This window comes from Homo sapiens, chromosome 14 (genome assembly GCF_000001405.40).
Source record: "Homo sapiens chromosome 14, GRCh38.p14 Primary Assembly".
In the NCBI taxonomy this organism is placed as follows: Eukaryota; Metazoa; Chordata; class Mammalia; order Primates; family Hominidae; genus Homo; species Homo sapiens.
The window spans coordinates 87,247,027-87,263,948 of NC_000014.9; the positions used below are offsets into that span (position 1 = coordinate 87,247,027).

Below are 16,922 nucleotides of genomic sequence, written 5' to 3' on the forward strand. Positions count from 1 at the left end.
TGTAGTGTATTTTGAAGTCAGGCAGTGTGATACGTCCAGCTTTGTTCCTTTTGCTCAAGATTGCTTTGGCTATTCAGGGCCTTTTGAGATTCTATATGAATTTTAGGTTTCTCTTTTCTACTTCTGTGAAGAATGTCATTGGTATTTTGCTAGGGATTGCATTGAATCTGTAAATTGCTTTGGTTAGAAAAACATTTAAACAGTCTTGTTTCTTTCAATTCATGAACATAGAATATTATTTCTTCTAATCCATGAAAACAGGACACAAATGAAATAGATTTTTTTTTCTTAATTATTTTTCAGTGTTTTCTAGTTTTTACTGTAGAGATTTTTCACCTCTTGGTCCAATTTGTCCTAGGTAGCTTATGTATTTTTTGTAGCTATTATCAATGGAATTATTTTCTAAATTACTTTTTCAGATACTTCACTGTTTGTTTATAGAAACACTACTGATGTTTGTGTCTTGAGTTTGTATCTTGCAACTTTCCTGAACTTGTTTATTAATGTTAACAGTTTTTTGGTGGAGCATTTAGGGTTTTCTGTATGTAAGATCACATGTCTGCAAACAGAGACAGCTTGACATTTTCCTTTCTAATTTGCATGCTTTTTATTTCTTTCTCTTGCCTAATTGCTCAGGCTAAGCCTTCCAATATTATGTTGAATTGACATGGTGAAAATAGGCATCCTTGTCTTTTCCTGGATCTTAGAAGAAAAGTTCAACTTTTTCCTTTCCTATATACTATTCACCTGGATTCTCCAAGTGCAAACTTATAGTACATTAGTTTAAGTATTTGTTCATTCTCTCTTGCTTTTCCTCTCTTCCTGTTTATATTTTTTCTGAAACTGGTACAAAAGTTTGTAGTACATTGCAGAAATAATTTCCCTTATCTCAAAATAAGTCATTGTTTATTTTTCATGAAAACATGGAACAATGATCACACTTGGGAAATTATCATTAGTACAGTACTATTACCTAATTGACATACCTATATTAGATTTGTACACAAAGCCACTGTAGCCAGACAAAGTGGATTTATGTACGAAGTTCATAAATGCTGAAAGAAGTTGATGTGTACATGAGGCATCATTACCCTGTGTTTCTACTTTTGCATATGCTTGAAAGTTTCCATAATATATAAATGTCTTTATATGGAAATGCAGAGGGGTAAAAATAGACAAGACAATTTTTTAGAAGAATCAAGTGTTAGGATTCATTCTATTGGATAGTAAAACTTGTAAAGATAACTAATTAAAACAATGTGGTACGATATAAGGATAGACATGTATAAAAAACAGTCCCTCCATATGCAGACAAGTGATATACGCAAAAATTAGCACTACAGAGCAATGGGAAAGAACTGTTTTGCAATGAATGGTGTATAGTGCTGGCTAGTTGAATATCCATATGAGAAAAAAATTACATTTCACAACCCCATTGCAAAGGACACAAAAATCAGCTTCAGTGAATCACAGATCTAATGGTAAAAAGTAAAACAATAAGACCTCTAGGTGATAACAGAAGACTATCTTGCTTAGGTAGGGGAAAATTTTTTACACAGGTTCCAAAAAGCTAACATTGATGAAAATAATTGATAAATTAGCTTATGTTGAAATTAAGAACTTCCATACAACAAAAGGTACCATTAAGACTGTGAATAGGCAAGCCTCAGACAAGAAAAAGATAGTTTGCAACACTGAAACCAAAATAGGGCTTATATCAAGGATATATAAGAAACAAACGTGTAAAAATGAATAATGCAATTTAAAGAAAGGGCAAGACACTAAAACATAAGATCCAAAAAACAAGATACTCATCCAGTTAATACCAAAAGATGTTTAACTTAGTTATCAGGTAAATGAAGTTTAAAATCACCAATACAATATCCTTACACATTCACTGGAATGGTGAAAATAAAAATGACTAGCAACACTGAATGTAGACAAGCATGTGGAAACTTCCACATATGGCTAATGAAACAGGAAATCAGCACTTCCAGTTTGGAAAAGTTTGAAAGTGTCTACTGAGGTTGAACATACATCTGATTTTATTTAGTCATATTCTCAAATGAGGTATGACCACATGTTTACCAAAAAGCAGGTGCCAGAGTGTTCATTGGCCATTATATAAAATAGCTAAAACGTGGTAAGAACTCAAATGTCCATCAGCATTAGAATGAAAAAATGATACAAAGGAAGACTAGATGGCAATAAATTTAAGATACTCTCATAATTAGGCTGGTGCAGTGGCTACACCTGTTATCCCAGCACTTTGGGAGGCTGAGGCAGGCAAATCACTTGAGGTCAGGAGTTTGAGACCAGCCTGACCAACATGATGAAACCCGAACTCTACTAAAAATACAAAAATTGGCCAGGTGTGGTGGTATGCACCTGTAATCCCAGCTACTCAGGAGGCTGAGGCAGGAGAATCGCTTGAACCTGGGAGTTAGAGGTTGCAGTAAGCCAAGATCGCACCACTGCACTCCAGCCTGGATGACTAGAGTGAAAACTCCATCTTAAAAAAAAAAAAATCACAATTATAATGTGAGTAAAAATTGCCAAAACAATATAATGTGTATTATATGCGAACCCAGTTTATATACAGCTTGAATCCAGGCAAATACCATATAGGGTGCTACAAATTAAGATATTAATGACCTGTAGGGGAGATAGAGGGACTAGTGATTATGTAGGGGCATGAAGGGCCTCTTAGGTACTGATAACTTTCTACTGGGTTGGTGCAAACTTGGATGGTGGTTATCCAGATGTGTTTACTTTGTCATAATCTGTTGAGCTGTATATTCATGATTTGTTTGATTTTTCTAGATGTATGTTATACTCAAGTGATAAAATAAGTGCATACTGCATATATACACATGCACGCAAGCCAAAACTCCAGCTCTTTTCCCCTTCAATTTCGAGGAAGAAAAAGCTTTTTAGAAAGAAATGTGGGCTGGGCATGGTGGCTCACGCTTGTAATCCCAGTACTTTGGGAGGCCGGGATGGGTGGATCACGAGGTCAGGAAATCGAGACCATCCTGGCTAACACGGTGAAACCCCGTCTCTACTAAAAATACAAAAAAATTAGCTGGGTGTGGTGGCAGGTGCCTGTAGTACCAGCTACTCAGCAGTCTGAGGCAGGAGAATGGCTTGAATCCGGGAGGTGGAGCTTGCAGTGAGCCAAGATCGCGCCACTGAACTCCAGCCTGGGTGACAGAGTGAGAATCTGCCTCAAAAAAAAAAAAAAAAATGTGGTTCCTAGCTTTTATTCTGGCAGAATCTCTTACCCAGAGCACTGTACTATTCATATTAATAATGAAAATCACTAATATTTATTATTAGTAATTTTGACAATAGCAAATATTTAGTGAGTAGTATGCTTTGGTACTACAGCAACTCTAGATTATCACATTTAATTTCTCTTATTTTATATATAAAATGAATATAATTATTTGCCTTATTTTTAGCTAGAGAAACTGGGTCTTAAGTCAGGAAAGTCACTAGTTCATGATCATATATCTAGCAGATGGTGGAGCTAGGATTGAAATGTAGACTGCCCTGGGCCAGGTGTGGTGGCTCACGCCTGTAATCCCAGCACTTTGGGAGGCCGAGACGGGCGGATCACGAGGTCACGAGATCGAGACCATCCTGGCTAACACGGTGAAACCCTGTCTCTACTAAAAATACAAAAAATTAGCCGGGCGTGGTGGCGGGTGCCTGTAGTCCCAGCTACTCAGGAGGCTGAGGCAGGAGAATGGCGTGAACCCGGGAGGTGGAGCTTGCAGCCACTGCACTCCAGCCTGGGGGACAGAGCGAGACTCCGTCACAAAAAAAAAAAAAAAAAAAAAAAAAAATGAAATGTAGACTGCCCTACTGTGTAGCCTTTGAGCTCATCCACTAGGCCATGCTGGCTCCTACTAAGACGTCCAAATGTAGGTGTCTGTGATCCATTGAAAGGGAAAAAAATTTGAGAAGCAAGTGCATAGAATTACCCCAAAGCTAAAATAAACTGAACATTAAGAAGCAATTTCTAAGCAAAGGGGTGTTAGTAATAGCATTTTCTTTTTCACAGAAGTGAGGAAACTGCATCCAGTCAGTGCAGGTCATTAAACTCAAGCAAAAGTTCACTGAAGCAAAGACACCTATTGTTTATCTCACAAAATAACTGGAGGGTTTTCCAGAGAGAGTGGAGCACAAGGTAAATTACCTAGTGGAAATGTCAACAGGACAGGACTGCACACTAGGGTCTTTTTCATGTGCAATTGACAACAGCTAAAAATAAATTGAACTTGGCAATGGCTCCCCATGTTCCTGCAGCCCCAGGGGGCTACTTTCATTTTAATAAATGATTGAACAAAGTGTTTAACTTCTTTCTGTTTTCAGACTGGTATTCAGGGGCATAGGAAATGCATTATTGAATATTTTCCTGTGCTTTGGCTTCAGGTAAAGGGCTGTTCTTAGCAACCAGAGCTAAAGAGCTGTGTGGGCTTACCCATGAAGAGTACTGAAAATTCAAGTTGTGTTATTAGAAGTGAAGTTATATCCTGTGCCATCCATGTCCCTTCCTACTTCCCCATGACAGACGTAAGGGTAAGACTTCTGGCTAAGGGAAAGGTGTACAGACTGTGCTCCTAAAATAAAATTAAATTAAACACTGCCTATGAGAAATGATTTCGTGATTGTGCCAAGTGGTCATGAATTGGGAGAGAAATGGGAGAGGGAATAAGTTAATATAAAAAATAATGTTGCCCCAGTGACAGGCTGAATCCAAAATAATAAATACCAAGTGTTTCTAGAGTGTTTTAAAAAGGGAAAGCATTAAGAAAATATTTTTAAATACTTTTGGTTTTAAGTTCTTTGAAGATAAGATGTATGCCATTTTTTGTATTTTCCTTCTCATGGTGCTTTGAACACTCTTTTTGTATTTTATGATATCAAATTGAATCAATGCCTTATTATTTAAGTGTTATCTGCTATATGTTACTTAGAGAAATATAATATTGTCCACATAAAGAGGTGAATCTCTAAGCAAAAAGGTTTTGTTTGCAAATAATATACAGGAGGTAAGATTGCAATCCAGGACATACATACAGACCAGGATGATCTCTGGTATGTCTATAGAACAAAGAAAAAGGTTAGAATTTAGTCAGGAAAGACTAGTTATACAAGTCGTTTTCAGAGAAACCTTACTGGCACTGGCAGCATCTTATAAGAGCTGGTGAGCTCTGATTGGTGAGTGTCAGTAGTTGCTAGATAAGACTTGTAATCTTAAAGCTATAGTTAAGCCTTTCCAGCTTTGAGCTGGGTTCGCGAGAGTTTTTGAAACAGGCAAGTGTTCTTGTGTAACCGGCTAGCTGTCCTTGTGCCACTAGTTGTCCTTGTGTGACTCGTGTAGTAACTTGTGGTTTGCAAAAATTTCTTGTGATAGTTCCTGTTATCAGGCAAATCCTGAATGAGAGCACTTCCTTTCATGGCCTTCCCTGGCTCCATTTGTCAGGAATTAACCCAAGTGACTCTATTTGGAATCTTACAATTTTCACAATATTAAAGCAAATAAAAAGCTTCTATTTCTCGTCTTGCAAATAAGAACTGTGCTGTAGGTGTTAGGTGTGCCCCCTCAATTAATTCCCACAATAAATTAGGTACTATTATTGTTCACATTTTATAAATAAGGAAAGTCACAAAAACATTAAATACATTTTTGAGGTTATAGAACTAGGCAAAGCTGGGATTTGAACTAATCTCTTTTACTCTGTACTCTAAGAGGGTCATCAAATATATATTGAATAGTTTTTAGTTTCTTGTCCATATTGGGAAATATGGAGAGACTAATTAGTAGAAAATATTTTTGATATCTTTAGAAATTATGTCTAGCCAACTGGCCTTATATAAACAGAACTAATACCAGTGAAATGCTTGGTGAAATTGAGTCTGTTCTTTTTCTACACTGTGGATAGTATAATTTACCAACATTTAATCTAACATAACAGGTATAAGCTCTATGCACTAGAAGAGTCACATATACCAATTAATTTATTATTTTTTTTCCCTATAGAATCACCTAGATAGCTGCAATGAAAGAAATTCAGATACAAACAGTATCTCCATCATTATTTTTAGATAATTATTAAACCTGTACTCTGTGTAGGAATTTGGAATACATAGATTGCAATGACAAATATTGGGAAATTCAGTTTTGGTTGTAAAATGAGTAATCTTATAACAATTCATGTATAAATTATGAGGCATTTAAGTAAGAAAGTTCTAATGGTTAACTAAAGAAAGCCAACTAACAAAGCCAGTAAAGATGGAAAACCATATTTAGAACTTTTTAACACAAAAACCTGTATAATAGAGGTTTGGCTTGTGGGTGAGTCTCAGAGATGTGAGTATATAATGACTATCGAAGTATATAATGACTCTATTTTAATTCTTGGAGGGTATCCATGGCCAAGGATAGTAAGCCTCGGAAGAAAAGTCACAAGAGAGGAGGAATATAATAGCAGGAACCAGAAATACACTCTATACCAGAAATTAGGAGACAAGGCTTAAAAAAATCAGAATTTGGAAAAAGCAATAGCCAAAATTAGGAAGCATGGGTTCCAGTTTCAGCAGTTTCCTGTGTCTTTGGGCCCATTGCTTTGGTTCTCTGGGTTCCATTTTTCTATGAGTAAAATGGGAGTGTTCAGTTATATAATTTCTATAACTCTTTCTAACTCCCCCATACATCATATTCTACAATCCTTAGGAATGGTTCAATAACATTCAGTGCCCTAAAGGAGGAAAGGAGATTGTAGTATACTCAACTGAATTAAGAAGAAAGACCTTCCAATCTTCTTGTCAGGCCTCTGAGCCCAAGCTAAACCATCGTATGCCCTGTGACCTGCATATATATGTCCAGATGGCCTGAAGCAAGTGAAGAATCACAAAAGAAGTGAAAATGGCCTGTTCCTGCCTTAACTGATGACATTCCACCATTGTGATTTGTTTCTGCCCCACCTTAACTCAGCGATTAACCTTGTGAAATTCCTTCTCCTGGCTCAGAAGCTCCCCCACTGAGCACCTCGTGACACCCCCACCCCTGCCCACAAGAGAAAAAACCCCCTTTGATTGTAATTTTCCACTACCCACCCAAATCCTATAAAATGGCCCCACCCCTATCTCCCTTTGCTGACTCTCTTTTTGGTCTCAGCCCGCCTGCACCCAGGTGATTAAAAAGCTTTATTGCTCACACAAAGCCTGTTTGGTGGTCTCTTCACATGGACGTGCATGAAACTTCTTATAATTTTCTGGTTGCCAACGCAAAAAAGGAACAAATGGTAAATTCTTATAACTAATTATAAGCATTTGGGATAATCTCCTCTAAAATATATGAGAGATGCAATTCATAGAGAGGTTAAGGTAAGATTACTGTGTCAAAGTCAGGAAGTTAGCCAAGGAGACAAGGGGTAAACATGATCAGCTTAAAGGAGCTATGAATAAGGGAAACCAACAAGGTAAAAATCTGGGATGGAAAGAGGCCAAGTAGGAGATCGAGATAAGCCCCTGTGGGAGACCTCAACAAAAATGAGTATGCAGACTTGCATGTGCAGAATGGCAAGACAGGCTGCTATGGCCTAAAGAAGACCACTGCAAACAATGGATCGCTAAGGCATGTTCCACCCAACTTGTTAAAGAGCTTTGCATGTATACAGGGCCGGCCACACCAACAGTACTTCAGGAATACTGGCTACTTAACGCCTTAAGATTCAGTAGAAGAAAGAGTCTTTCCTCTGAGCATAGTCTAGCTTAAGTTCTTGTTCTGGAGAATTTCATGGTAGGTTCTAATTCTGTAAATTCTGTTTAAGAAAGCAGGAGAAAGACCAATAGAATTTAGAAAATATGTTTTAGAAAATGCTAATTATTTAAAGTTTTATAACAAGATAGTAACCTTCAGCCAGCTGATGAGTCAAATTATGTGGAACACATCATGATGGAGAAATAAGATTCTATTTGATTTTTGTATCTTCCATGCCATCAAGTGATGATTTTTGTAAAATATTACAAGGCACTGACAAATTTCCCTGGATTTCTTCACTCACAAATGAACGTGCGGTTGTTGCAAGCTGACCCTGTGCCTCTTTATGTGTTTTCTACTTGGTATGCAGCAATTTCCCTGCCTCCTGTGATAGTTATTCACAGGCTGCTGCATAGTGATTTTTATATGCTTTCTTCCTGCCTTGGACCAATGAAGCAATAAATAAGGGGAAAAAAAGGGTAAGTCTCTCTAAACAGCAGAAGAGCAGTGGTGCAGGAAATAGAAAGCAACTCCCAGAAGGAGCAAATGCATTCATAGCAAATTCCACCAGCAAATGAGTAGTGTCATCCAGCTAATTATATGTAATTGTCCCCTATATTGAAACAATAAATAATGTGGGAGGCCAGTGCTGCTTGTTGGGAATTACAACAACTCTATATAAATAGAAGGAAAACAAATGAGGAAAACCTGAACATAGGTGGTATATCCTGAAATTGTTGCCATAGGTGTTTTATAGTACTGCTCACTGGTATAATATCTTCTACATAAAGAATTCAGTGCCTGCATGTAGGCATACCAGAAGTGAGAATGGTAGTTGTAGATCTTCCAAATCCTAGGGTGACTCTGAGCATGCCACCTAGTACAAGTAAGCAGCCAAAACCACTGTTTATATTAGTCTTCATAACATGATCACCTGGCCAAAGGTAACAAGATATCAATTTCTTAGGCATTTGAAAAGGTGAGCATATTGTCTTAAAATGTGATGCAAAGTATCAGAGACCCATGTCGCTACCATAAGTGTGATGAAGACATTCATTGGTAGCCATTCATCTGTGATACCATCACTCATATGCTGAAGGAATCTTTGTGATTTAGGACCAAAAGTCCAAATGATAGCACTAAAGCCACCAGCTCAATATTATGACAGCCAATGTTATTATAAAGCCTTAAGTCTCTTTCCTATAACTTATACAGAGCTGCACAAGTCCAAGACTTTATGGATAGAAAGGAGAGCTCTTAGCCTGTCCCACAATTTTAATGTATCTATGGCTATGTCTGTCTCTAGTCATCTTATATACAGTCTGTTTTTCCTTTGTTTAAGACAAAAACCTAAGTTCTTTCTACTTTAGGCTGAGATTATAACCACACAGTTACATAAACACAGCCCATCAACTGTCTTTATTCAAAGCAGATAGCAGAAGGGATTCCAAATTCAAGTTTATGCAGTCCTACAAGGCTAACCCCTCTAATTGTCACTACCGTGCATTTATTTTCATGACTGTCTTAGATAATCCTTAATAGTACTAATCTAGACATATTTGTTATTCCATATGTACATCCATTGTTACAATTGTTTATTTTTCTTTTCATTCTAAGATTGTGCATTGAGCTGCTAATATGCGCTAGGCCTAAGATAGGCTCTGGAGATACAAAAATAAATAAAACAACATCTTTCCTCAAGGAGCCCTGAGGCCAGAGAAAATAAACTATCTTTTTCCCTCCTCAACAAGTTAACCAAGCTTATAATAACTCAGAAATTGGAGGTAGGAGAAAGGAAGTGATATGGTTTGGCTCTGTGTCCCTACCCAAATCTCATCGCAAATCATAATCCCCCCATGTCAAGGGAGGGACCTGGTGGGGAGTGATTGGATCATGGGAGCAGATTCCCCCATGCTGTTCTTATGATAACGAGGGAGTTCTCACAAGATCTAATGGTTTAAAATTGGCAATTTTTCCTGATCTCTCTCTCCTGCTGCCTTGTGAAGAAGGTGCTTGCTTCTGCTTCACTTTCTACCATGATTGTAAATTTCCTGAGGCCTCCCCAGCCATGCAGAACTGTGAGTCAATTAAACCTCTTTATTTCATAAATTACCCAATCTCAAGGAGTTCTTTTTAGCAGTGGGAAAATGGACTAATATAGAAAATTGGTACTGGCAGAATGGGGTGGTCTCATAAAGATGATCTGAAAATGTGGAAGCAACTTTGGAACCAGGTAACAGGCAGATATTGGAAGAGTTTGGAGGGCTCAGAAAAAGGCAGGAAGATGAGGGCAAGTTTTGAACTTCCTAGAGACTTGTTGAATGGTTTTGACCAAAATGCTGATAGTGATATGGACAATGAAGTCCAGGCTGAGATGGTCTCAGATGGAGATGAGAAACTTATTGAGAACTGAAGCAAATGTCACTCTTACTATGCTTTAGCAGAGACTGGCTGCATTTTGCCCCTGTGCCAGAGATCTGTGAACCTTGAGCTTGAGAGAGATGGTTTAAGGTATCTGGTGGAAGAAATTTCTAAGCAGCAAAGTGTTCAAGAGGTGATGTGGTTACTCTGAAAGCATTCAGTCTTATGCATTCACAAAGAGATCACCTGAAAATGAAACTTTTATTTAAAAGGGAAGCACAACATAAAATTTGGAAAATTTGCAGCCTGACCATGAGGTAGAAAAGAAAAATCCATTTTTTCTGCTGCAGAAACTTGCATAAGTAAGAAGGAGCCAAATGTTAATCACCAAGACAATGGGGAAAATGTCTCCAGGGCATTTCTGGGATCTTCATGGCAGCCCCTCCCATCACAAGCATGCAGGCCTAGGAGGTAAAAATGGTTTCATGGGCCAGGGCCCAGGGCCCTGCTGCTCTGTGTAGCCTCAGAATTTAGTGCCCTGCATCCCAGCCACTCCAGCTCCAGCTGTGGTTAAAAGGGGCCAAGGTATAGCTCAGGCCATTGCTTCAGAGGATGCAAGCCCCAAACATTGGTGGCATTCACATGTCGTTGGGCCTGTAGGTGTGCAGAAGACAAGAGTTGAGCTTCAGGTGCCTCCACCTAAGTTTCACAGGATGTATGGAAACTCCTCGATGTCCAGGCAGATGTCTGCTGCATGGGTGGAGCTCTCATTGAGAACCTCTGCTAGGGCCATGCGAAGGGGAAATGTGGTGTTGGAGACCCCACACACAGTCCCCACTGGGGCACTGCCTAGCGAAGCTGTGAGAAGAGAGCCACTCTCTTCCAAAGCCCAGAAAGGTAGATCCACTGACAGCTTGCACCACATGCCTGGAAAAGCCACAAGCACTCAACGCCAGCCCATGAAATGAGCCATGGGGGCTGTACCCTGTAGAGCCACAGGGGCAGAGCTACCCAAGTCCATGGGAGCCCACCCCTTATATCAGCATGCACTGTATGTGAGACATGGAGTCAAAGGAGCTTTACAATTTAATGACTGCCATGTCGGATTTTGGACTTCCATGGTGCCTGTGGCCCCTTGTTTTGGCCAATTTCTTCCATTTGGAGTGGGACCATTTACCCAATTCCTGTGCCCGCATTGCATCTTGGAAGTAACTTACTTGTTTTTATTTTATGGGCTCCTCAGTGAAAGGGACTTGCCTTGTCTCTGATGCAACTTTGGATTTGAACTTTTGAGTTAATGCTGGAATTAGTTAAGACTTTGAGGACTGTTGGGAAGGCATTTTTTGTTTTGTTTTGTTTTTCTGAGATGGAGTATCACTCTGTCACCAGGCTGGAGTGCAGTGGCGTGATCTCGGCTCACTGCAACCTCCACCTCCTGGGTTCAAGCGATTCTCCTGCCTTAGCCTCCCAAGTAGCTAGGACTACAGGCACACCACCACACCCAGCTAATTTTCATATTTTTAGTACAGATGGGTTTCAACATGTTGGCCAGGATGGTCTCGATCTCTTGACTTCGTGATCTACCTGCCTCCACCTCCCAAAGTGCTGGGATTACAGGTGTGAGCCACTGTGCCTGGCTGGCATGATTGGTTTTGAAATGTGAAAAGGACATGAGATTTGGGAGGGGCAAGGGGTGGAATGATATGGTTTGACTCTGTGTTCCCACCCAAATCTCATCTCAAATTGTAATCCCCGCATGTCAAGGGAAGGACCTGGTGGGAGGTGATTGGACCATGGGGGCACTTTCCGCCATGCTGTTCTCATGACTGTGAGGGATTCTCAGGAGATCTGGTGGTTTAAAAGTGGCAGTTTTCCCTGCTCTCTTTCTCTCTACTGCCACTTGTGAAGAAGTTACCTGCTTCCCCTTCACTTTCCACCATGATTGTAAGTTTCCTGAGGCCTCGCCAGCCATGCAGAACTGTGATTCAATTAAACCTCTTCCCTACATAAATTACCTAGTCTCGGGTAGTTCTTTATAGCAGTGTGAAAATGAACTAATACAGGAGACAACCAAAAGACATATAAATAAACTTCAGTGTATTTAATCAGCATATAGTTTATTGATGAAATAAAATAGCAAAAGAAAATACAACAGTGTATGATAAAATGCTCACTTAAATAAAATCAATAAGAAAATTCATAGTATATTTAATTTATATGTTCTGTTACCAGAAAACCTTTTGTCTAATTTCCAATTCCACGTCAAATAACTACAGGCAGTTGGAGAGGGGATGAGGTTGCAAGAGTAGGTGCTATGGTGATCATATGCTATAAGATGGAAACCTGAAATACTTGTTCTTCTAAGTCTTCTGTTTGTTACATTTACTAGCCCATCCTGATCAGATATTTATATCCTACACAGGCGAGGCAGGCAAGTCTCCTGGAATCAAATCATCTTACCAAAAGCATATTAACATGATGTTGGCAAATACCCCAAAGATATTAGTTCAAAATCTGGGCACTTTGATTAAAATTTTCTTGTTACCAAATCAACACCAGATAGTATGCATTCTTTCTTTCTTGATATACTCTTTTCTTGGAATAGTCATGATAATGTCTCATTCCTTTACACAATTCTGATGTGGGAAGTAATGCTGTCAAAGGAGATTTTGCTTATTTGTTCAACAGATTAGAAAATCAGTTGAGAAGAATGAGAAGTCTGTCAATATAATCCTTTTTTTAATTCAGTAGGACTTTTGAAAAATAAGTTACTGTGAATTCGACAAATGTTAGATGAATGCCTACCATGTAAAACAATTTGGGCAAGGCATCGAGGAGGACAGAGAATAAGAAGAAAAAGACAAAGATCAAATATGAGTGACAACACCGAGCCTGTTAATTACATAGATAGCCATAAATCTGCTGTGATACATTTCTGGAGGGTTCCTCTTCAATAATTATACCCTCCAATATACAAAGGTGCTAATATATGATAGTCTGTTATTAAAGGTTTAATTCTTTTTGCAAATATTTACTCATTTGATATGATGTAAATGAGGATCTCCATTGTAAATGTAAGTAATTTTGAAGTCAGTGGTCTTTGCTCCAATACCATTTTTATTTAACCAAAACTCTCAACTTGAGTGCTCACAATAGAGAAACAAATGGCTAACTGAAGAATCTAGAGTAAAAGGGAGTGATAGGAAGAGCAAAATAAATATAACAACAGCAACAATAAAAGAAAACATAACCTGTAACTATATATTAAAAGATTAGTTACATGTAAGGTACACAAAATGCCATGGGGAGCAGAAGTTTCTTTAGGAAGCATTTCTACAGAAGACGGATTTGGAGTTTATTTTAAAAATCTGGGGAAACACAAAATGGTAGAAGGCAATGCATGGGCTATACCCCATGGTGTTTTCCTTTGAAACATAAGCACCTTTAAAAATAGCCTGATGGACCACAAGCCCCAGGAACTAGCTGTTCATAGCTAATTATCCAAAGACTTGAAGAAGTCAAGCTGTGCAAAGTCAATTCAACTTTGCTGGTGCAGCCTGAAGCTACTTTAGTTAAACCTTAGTCATAGTGTTTCTAATGAAAGGGGGCAACACAGAATAAAAACTGCAAGCCCAATTCGATACGAGTGAATAAAATTGCAACCAGTAAAGGCACACAACATCCAATAATTAAGACTAACAGCACTATTATTTTTCTAGAAACCTGAACCATAAAAGAGATTAATTGTTTTGTATTTAACTCAGAAAAAAGCTCATTTGATTGGGACTCATGCTTACAACTTACTCAAACAGATGTTACCTTTTGCTAATACAGAAAGGATGCTATTTTAAAAATTGAGCAGAAAACAAATTAAATGTTCATTAAAAATATTTTTGGCCAGGCACAGTGGCTCATGCCTGTAATCCCAGCACTTTGGGAGACAGGTGGGTGGATTGCCTGAGCTCAGGAATTTGCGAACAGCCTGGGCAACAGAACAGGGTGAAACTCCATCTCTACTAAAAGACAAAAAAATTAGCCTAGTGTGGTGGTGGGTACCTGTAGTCCCAGCTACTCGGGAGGCTGAGGCAGGAGAATTGCTTGAACCCAGGAGGCGGAGGTTGCAATGAGCAGAGATGACACCCACTGCACTCCAGCCTGGGTGACAGAGTGAGACTCTGTCTCAAAAAAAAGAATTTAATTTTGTTTTCATAGAATCAATATATTGAATAATATGTAGACTATACCATTAAGTGGAAAATGATATAAAGGAATCAGAAACATTGACTTGTCCTCACCAAGGCTAATCTGGCTACTGACTCAAGTGAATCCTGTCTTGACCACAACAGAGACCAATACTAAGGTCTCCCAGATGTCAGTGTTCCCCACACTAGCCACCTAGAAGCATACTTCTTGCTGAATTCTTTCATCATGGAGGTGGCAACAACTTATCTTTCTTACGAGAATAGACATGTATTCTAGATACACATTCATCTTCCTTGCCCACAGTGCTTTGCCAGCTTGTAGATTTAAAGAACATTTTGCTCACTACCATGACATCTCTTACAACATTGCTTCTGACCTAGAAACTCAGATCCACAAAGAAGCAGGACAATGGGTTCACGCCCAAGGAATTTACTGGTATTACTATGTGTCTCATTATCCAGAAACAGCTGACCTGACCCAAGAGTGAAATGGTCTACTGAAGACTCAGATTCAGACATAACATTAGCAGGAATTAAAGACTCTGAAATGTTAGTGTCATAGAGGATGAGTCGCATGCTTTAAACAAGTAATTAATATATCATGCTATTTTCCTTATAACCATAATACATAAGTAAAGGAACCAAGGGTAGAGGTAGCTTCTCTCTCTTATAAATAATCCACTTGCAAATTTTATTATCTTTTCTTGAAAGTTTAAACTCAATTGGTTAGACTCCCTTAATTCTTAAGCATGGAATGCTGCCAGCCAATGATAGGACAATAGTTCCTCTGAGTTAAAAAATGAGATTAACACCTGATAATTTTGGGTTTCTCATGTCACAGCACCAGTAGGTGTTGCAGTGTTGGCTGGAGGATTGATTCAGTTTATCAAGAGGAAAATGAGTTGGTACTACATTATGTGATCAGTGAAATGTGGGTCTAGAACCCAGGGGATTCTCTTAGGTATCTCTCAATATTTCTATGTCCCAATACTAAAAGTTAAGGGAAAACCTGCAGTGATTCGATAAAAACAAATCCACAGAACAGTTAGACACTCTAGAAGTGGTTTGGCTCATCCCACGAAGTGAGGAAGCAAGGCCACTGGAGGTACAAAGAAAAAGTGCAATGAATAGTCTTTAAAAAGTAAAGTAAAAACTAAACTACAGCATTATTGTTAGCTACAGAAACAATGCACATGTGAAGATTATGGTAACTACGCACATATACTCACCACAGTTGTTGCAGAAATTGTGAAAAATGACTTGTGGATTGATATATAATATACCAACAATTTTCCCTTTTCAGCTTTTTGCTTATTATTTTATATGAGAATAGTTTATTGGTGATCTTTTAATTTAGTGTTTGGGTTAAAGGATATTTAAGTAATTTTGTGACTGAGCTAAAAGAAACTGACCTTGCATGGTGTCTTTGTTCTTATCTCATTTACAAAGAAAATGAGAACATCTCCATCTGCTCAAAGAAAGCCATCTTATTAGGTAGAGGAAGTCATTGTTATTTTGTTGCCTGCAGAGTAAAATATGTGTAAGATGATATGTAAGTTTGCTCAGCAGCCAAAGGGGTGGACTATGCTGGTTTACTTATTTATTACCTTCTTTCAAATTCAAATTCACCTTTCTTGACTCTATAAAAACAAGACTAGAGTTCTGCCAGCTATGCATACCAGATACCCTGGCCAATTGGCTTACTTTTAGGTTAGAAGAGCATTAGAATATTGAAGTGGTGGTGGTGGGGAGATATTTATTTATTTATTTATTTGATTGATTGATTTTGTTTATTGTTCCTGTCAGTCAGGCTCCACCCATTAGCTGTTGGCTCCAACCACCAGCTTCTTTTGGTGCTGCCCTGATCAGCTCGTTTTCCTCCCAGTTTTACTAGAGAAGGCTAGATGGTGGCCCCATCTCAGATCTTGATCTCAAGTTTTGTAGGGCCCTCTCGTGAGCTTCTGAAATACCATCTGGAGATAGGTAGTGCTCCCTATCCGGAGATCTAAGCACATTCCAAAAAACCCTATTCTGAACACATAGGTCCTAGCAAACCTCAGCGAAGTGGAGCATGTGCTTAGTTGAGACGATGGACTGTTAAACGAAGTTACCAAAATCATTCTTGAGACATGCTGCTGAATTAGCAGTGCAGAATCATCCAGATTTATCATTCCTTACTGGAATCATTTTGAGAAAGCCTCACATTAAGATGGCAGACTTACAAGACTGAAGAAGCATAAATTGGTAATCCATGTTGAGTTCAGTTGCTCTAGAGGCTTACTTAGGCACATAGAGAAATTAGTGTAAATTAGATATAAAAATGTTTGTGTTAAGCCATGGGGATTTTGAAGCTGTTCGTTACTACTTATGACCTAGTGTCTCCTGATGAATATAGAAATCAGTACCAGGAGAAATAGTGTGCTGCCATGACAAATACAAAAATATGTACCAGTGGCACAGTGAACAGGAAAGAGACCCAAAGGAAAAATGATGATCTATGTAATGCAATGGCAGAACATAATGTTACCTGCAATAACTTGGGAAACAAATGTTTGAGGAATTTGCAGTGTTCGGGAGAATGATTA

At 38.6% G+C, this 16,922-nt stretch overlaps 1 annotated feature.

Moving 5' to 3' along the window:
* Positions 13,263–14,021: an enhancer, noted in NCBI's record as "OCT4-NANOG hESC enhancer chr14:87726633-87727391 (GRCh37/hg19 assembly coordinates)". NCBI's record gives its function as "activates a minimal SCP1, AML or CMV promoter by ChIP-STARR-seq in primed H9 embryonic stem cells {active_cell/tissue: H9 hESC(primed)}" and the evidence as "EXISTENCE:reporter gene assay evidence [ECO:0000049][PMID:30033119]".